Below are 5439 nucleotides of genomic sequence, written 5' to 3'. Positions count from 1 at the left end.
TAGGTTTTCTTCTAGGGTTTTTATGGTTTTAGGTCTAACATTTAAGTCTTTAATCCATCTTGAATTAATTTTTATATAAGGTGTAAGGAAGGGATCAGCTTCAGCTTTCTACATACGACTGGCCAGTTTTCCCAGCACCATTTATTAAATAGGGAATCCTTTCCCCATTTCTTGTTTTTGTCAGATTTGTCAGAGATCAGATGGTTGTAGATGTGTGGCATTATTTCTGAGGGCTCTGCTCTGTTCTATTGGTCTATATCTCTGTTTTGGTACCAGTACCATGCTGTTTTGGTTACTGTAGCCTTGTGGTATAGTTTGAAGTCAGGTAGCGTGATGCCTCCAGCTTTGTTCTTTTGGCTTAGGATTGACATGGCAATGTGGGCTCTTTTTTGGTTCCATATGAACTTTAAAGTAGTTTTTTCCAATTCTGTGAAGAAAGTCATTGGTACCTTGATGGGGATGGCATTGAATCTATAAATTACTTTCAGTAGTATGGCCATTTTCACAATATTGATTCTTCCTATCCATGAGCATTGAATGTTCTTCCACTTGTTTGTATCCTCTTTTATTTTGTTGAGCAGTGGTTTGTAGTTCTCCTTGAAGAGGTCCTTCACATCCCTTGTAAGTTGGATTCCTAGGTATTGTATTCTCTTTGAAGCAATTGTGAATGGGAGTTCACTCATGATTTGGCTCTGTGTTTCCATGCAATAATTTCAAAAATCACCTTGTTAATATTACACCATATAAATCCACAAGGTTGTACTTGCAGCCTATCCATGGAGTAGAAGTATCTGGTTACATTAATGCCAGTTTTATTGATGAGTAAAGACAATAGAAAGCTTACATTAGGGACCCTTGAAAGAGATCACTGAGGACTTCCAGTGGATGCTCTGGAAACACAATTTCACCAAGCTGTGTGAAATGGGCAGAGAAAAATGTCACCAATACTGGCCAGCAGAATAATCCACAAGATACCAGTACTTTGTTGTAGATCCTGTGGCTGAGTACAACATGCCATAGTTTATCACAAGGGAATTTAAAGTCATAGATGCCAAGGACAGCCAGTCCTGAACAGTGAGACAGCTCCAGTTCACTGACTGCCCAGATTAAAAAGTGCCAAAGTCTGGAAAAAGATTTATTGACTTAATTGGCCAAGTGCATAAAACAAAAGAGTACTGTGGTCAAGATGGACCCAGTTCAGTTCACTGTAATGTGAGCTTGGAAGGAGTAAAATCTTCATAATATTAAGCATTGTTTTGGAAATAATGAGATGTGAAAGAGTTGTAGATATCTTCCAGACCATCAAAACATACAGAACACAATGGCCAGCCATGGTACAAACAGAGAATGAGAATTGGTTTTTCTATTGAGTTGTGCTAGAGAAACTGGGCAGCTTTGATCAATATACAATGTAGAAATCCCTGACCCATTCTGGATTTTTACTATAGTCCTTCAATATCCATGGAGTCTCTTCTGCACCGTGCAGGACACTTGAGAAGTCCTTCTTAACTTTTAACTAACAACTACTTAGTGGGACTATAACACACATGCACAAAATTAAAACAAATCATTCCAGTGGAGAAAGATTTCACACTTTAATAACCTAACTTGAATCCTGACTGACAAGGCATCTGTGAGTTTTTATTTACTGATACCTCAAGGATTCAAAATCAAGGACAGAAGAAATCATAGTAATGAACAACCACCTTGTTCAGGATTGCTTGATAGGAGTGAGGGGAAATTGCCTGAGCGCGGCAAGATGTGTGCTGGTGTGGTGGCTCCTTACAATGAAATGGACTCTGCTTTGACATCACCCCTCCCGCCATACTGTTCATAAGATTTTAGGCGAAAGGCTGTGGGAATGTTTGAAAAGAGTGTTCCTGAACTAATTTTTTTAGTATTGTAAAGGTCTGCTGTGCTTCATTTTGAACTTTGTAAACTTTTTTTTCAACAAAATGTATGATTCAATAAAGTGAATTTTTAAAAAGTTACATAATTCTTTATTTTTTATTTCCAGATTGTAGAATTTTAAGCTGTAGAACTGTTATCTGTAATATATTGCTCTAGAAATATCAAATAATTTGAAATTTTGCATATTTTATGCAATAATTTAATCTACAGTATGTCTGATCAGATATTATTTTTCACTTCTGTACAGTTTTGATTGGTAAGAGAGTATCCATTCTCTTAAAATAAAAAGAATTTTATTTTGGTTTGATTTTGGAATCAATAGGGAGGTACAAATTATAAAGTTGCTGCTAACATATGTACATATTTATCCACAGTGTATATATAGAGTGTCCACACAAAAAATATAGGCACAGCTATCAGTCAGTTCTTCCATGATTTCATTTTTTAAATGTAGAAAAGCTATTGTAAACATTTTCTCCAATTCTTAATTTTATGACACATTTGTGTTTCCTAATATTATGAAACTTCATTTTTTTAAGGGAAATAAGAAGTGCACATTGGTGATTGTTAAACCTCACCCCCTAATTTCCTAATCCCTCTCCCCACAGCCACCCAATCATATTTACAAATACTATTTTGTTGGCCAGGCTTCCAACAAAGTTCAATATTTCTAACATTCTAGTACAACAAAACATTATTAGGCAGAGTGCAGTGGCTCATGCCTGTAATCCCAGAACTTTGGGAGGTGAAGGCAGATGGATCACCTGAGGTCATGAGTTCAAGACCAGCCTGACTAACAAGGTGAAACCCCGTCTCTACTAAAAATACAAAAATTAGCCAGGCATGTTGGCAGGCACCTGTAGTCTCAAGTACTCAGGAGGGGAGGCTGAGACAGGAGAATTGCTTGAAAACGGAAGGCGGAGGTTGCAGCGAGCTGAGATTGCGCCACTGCACTCCAGCTTGGGTGACAGAGTGAGACTCCCTCTCAAAAAAAAAAAAAAAGAAAAAAAGTTTTAAATATCTGATAAGTGTGGGAAGGTCAGTGAATATCCCTTTAGAAGGCAAGAATGTTGTAATACTTCAGCAATTAAGTTGTTTTAAAAGGTGTATTCAATGAAACATTGTCTCTAGTGTCTGCTATGAAATTTGCATTTATGATATGTACCACAGGCAAAGCAAAACGCATGTTACTCTGCTCAGTAAGAAACATTTTGTGGCAAACAGCATTCCTGGGAAGAGCTGTAATTTTTTTTTTTTTTTTTGGTTTGTTATTTGTTTTAATTTTGCATTTAGAGTGCCTTATAATTGATGTATATTTTAATAGCATTTATTTTTAGATTTTTGTTTATATTTTCATTAGTTTTTCATATCTGTTATTATTTTCTATTAAATCATTTTTTGTTTACCACAGAAAATGAAAAATAGTAAAAATTAAAATGGGCAAAAAATTTTAATATACATTTATCCAAAGAAGATATACAAATGGCCAGTAAGCAGATGAAACGATGCTCAATGCCATTAAACATTTGGAAAATGCAAATCAAAACTACAATGAAATACTATCATATACCCATTACCATGGCTACTACCAAAAAGTTATAAAATAACAAGTGTTGACAAGATAGTGTCAACACCCTTGTGCTTTGTTGTTGGGAATGTGAAATGGTACAGCTACTGTGGAGAACAGTTTGGTGGTTCCTCAAAAAATTAAAAATAGAATTATATTATCCAGTATTCTATTCTTGGTATATATTCGATATTCAAAAAATTGAAAAGAAAGTGTCAAGGAGATATTTGCACACTCGTGTTCATAGCAGTGTTATTCACAACAGCTAAAATCTGGAGGCAACCCAAGCACTCATTTGTGGATGCAGGGATAAGCACAATGCAGTATATACATGCAGTAGAATACTATGCAGCCTGAAAAAGGAAGGAAATTCTGGCATGTGTTACAACACGGATGAGCCTTGAGGACATTATGCTAAGTGAAATAGGCCAGTTACAAAAAGATAAATATTATATGATTCTACTTATGTGAGGTCCTTAGTGTAGTCAATTACCACAGAGATAAAAATAAAATGGTTGTTTTCAGGGACTAGGGGAAGAGAGGAATGGAAAATTATTGTTTATTGGGTATAATGTTTCAGTTTTACAAGATGAAGGAAGTTCTGAAGATGAATAGTGGTAAAGGTGACACAAGATTTTGGTTGTATTTAATATCACTGAACTGTACACTTAAAAGTGGTTATGATAGTAAGATTTATGTTATATATATTTTATCATAATTAAAAGCAATCGAGGCAGTTGTCTAACAATCAGTTAAAGTCTTTAGAAATTTTCCTAAGGGATACAGCAAATGGAGAAATCTTCATCAAGAAAATGCACTAAATCTCACTAAGAACGGCAACAGTCTGTGGCATTTGAGCCATGACCCAATCCTTTACCATCCCCACTGCTCCCCCAGGTTCTCTATAACAGAAAATTTGCCCTGGGTATTCTACAACCTGCAAGTGAGACCTAGAAGATGGGGGCTCTCTCCCTTCACCATTGTCTACTCTTGGGCTATGGTTTCACTCTGGGTAGGGCAGGTTGTTAGGATTTCTAATGCCTTGTCACCCTGTGTTGCAGGTGTTCTATTTCATGCAAGCATAGCTAAAACAACCAGGTGCCTCCCTGCCTCTACCTTCCCACCAGCCCACTCATAGAGTAGAAGCTCTACTTTACATAGAGCAATCTGAGAATAATCAGGTTCCAATGGCCCTTGCCTCAGAATGTTCATAGGGTGGTGGTTCCATGCTGGAAAGAATCAAACTGAGAAGACCTGAAGGTATGGTCTGGTCTTCTCAGTTTGACCACACCCCATGATCATTCATAATGTGAAGGCATCACTTCAGGAAAATCCAGGCCCCCCACCCCTGCCCACCCCACGCTAGTTCCAGTGCAGTAGCTCTGAGATCTGCTAAGGGTAAAGGCAGGCCATAAGAATTGACAGGACTGAATTTATTTGAAAAGAGCATAGAGAACTGCACGCCTATAGGCATTGGATATGATACAGGTAAAATAGAGGAAACTATAGAAAGATTGCCAACAAGAGCCCTCCTGAAATCACACTTCATGCTGGGGTTTGGAAGGCTGTGAGTGTGTGCTAAGCTATACTCATTCCAAAACAATCAGATCAAGAAATCAAGAATCAGAAACATTTCTTAAGCATACACAGACCCATCAACACAGTGAAGTACACTGGCACAAAGAGATTAAACACAACTTACTACACAATGAGCTACTCTGTCCTAGGGATAATTCTCAGAATGCCAGGATTTAAAAAAAAATTATATTATTCCCTGGCAATCTCAAGGAAGGAATGGATATCTATGGTGGCTGTGCTGTGTGCCCTCTTAAAATCAACTAGAGAGGAAATTTGCTAGCAATTTATCCCTGGATTAAAATGAGGCAAAAATGTAAATTTCAATTGGATAGCACCTCCAAGATATCCAATAATAAAGGATTAAATCATATTTTCAAAAGGGG

The 5439-nt window shown here is 37.0% G+C and overlaps 1 pseudogene; it reads left to right on the top strand.

Moving 5' to 3' along the window:
- Positions 699–3321, top strand: LOC100129526 (protein tyrosine phosphatase receptor type D pseudogene; annotated as a pseudogene).

The sequence above is a fragment of the Homo sapiens genome, chromosome 5 (assembly GCF_000001405.40).
Source record: "Homo sapiens chromosome 5, GRCh38.p14 Primary Assembly".
Taxonomy (NCBI): Eukaryota; Metazoa; Chordata; class Mammalia; order Primates; family Hominidae; genus Homo; species Homo sapiens.
This window is presented reverse-complemented; position numbering and strand designations above follow the sequence as displayed.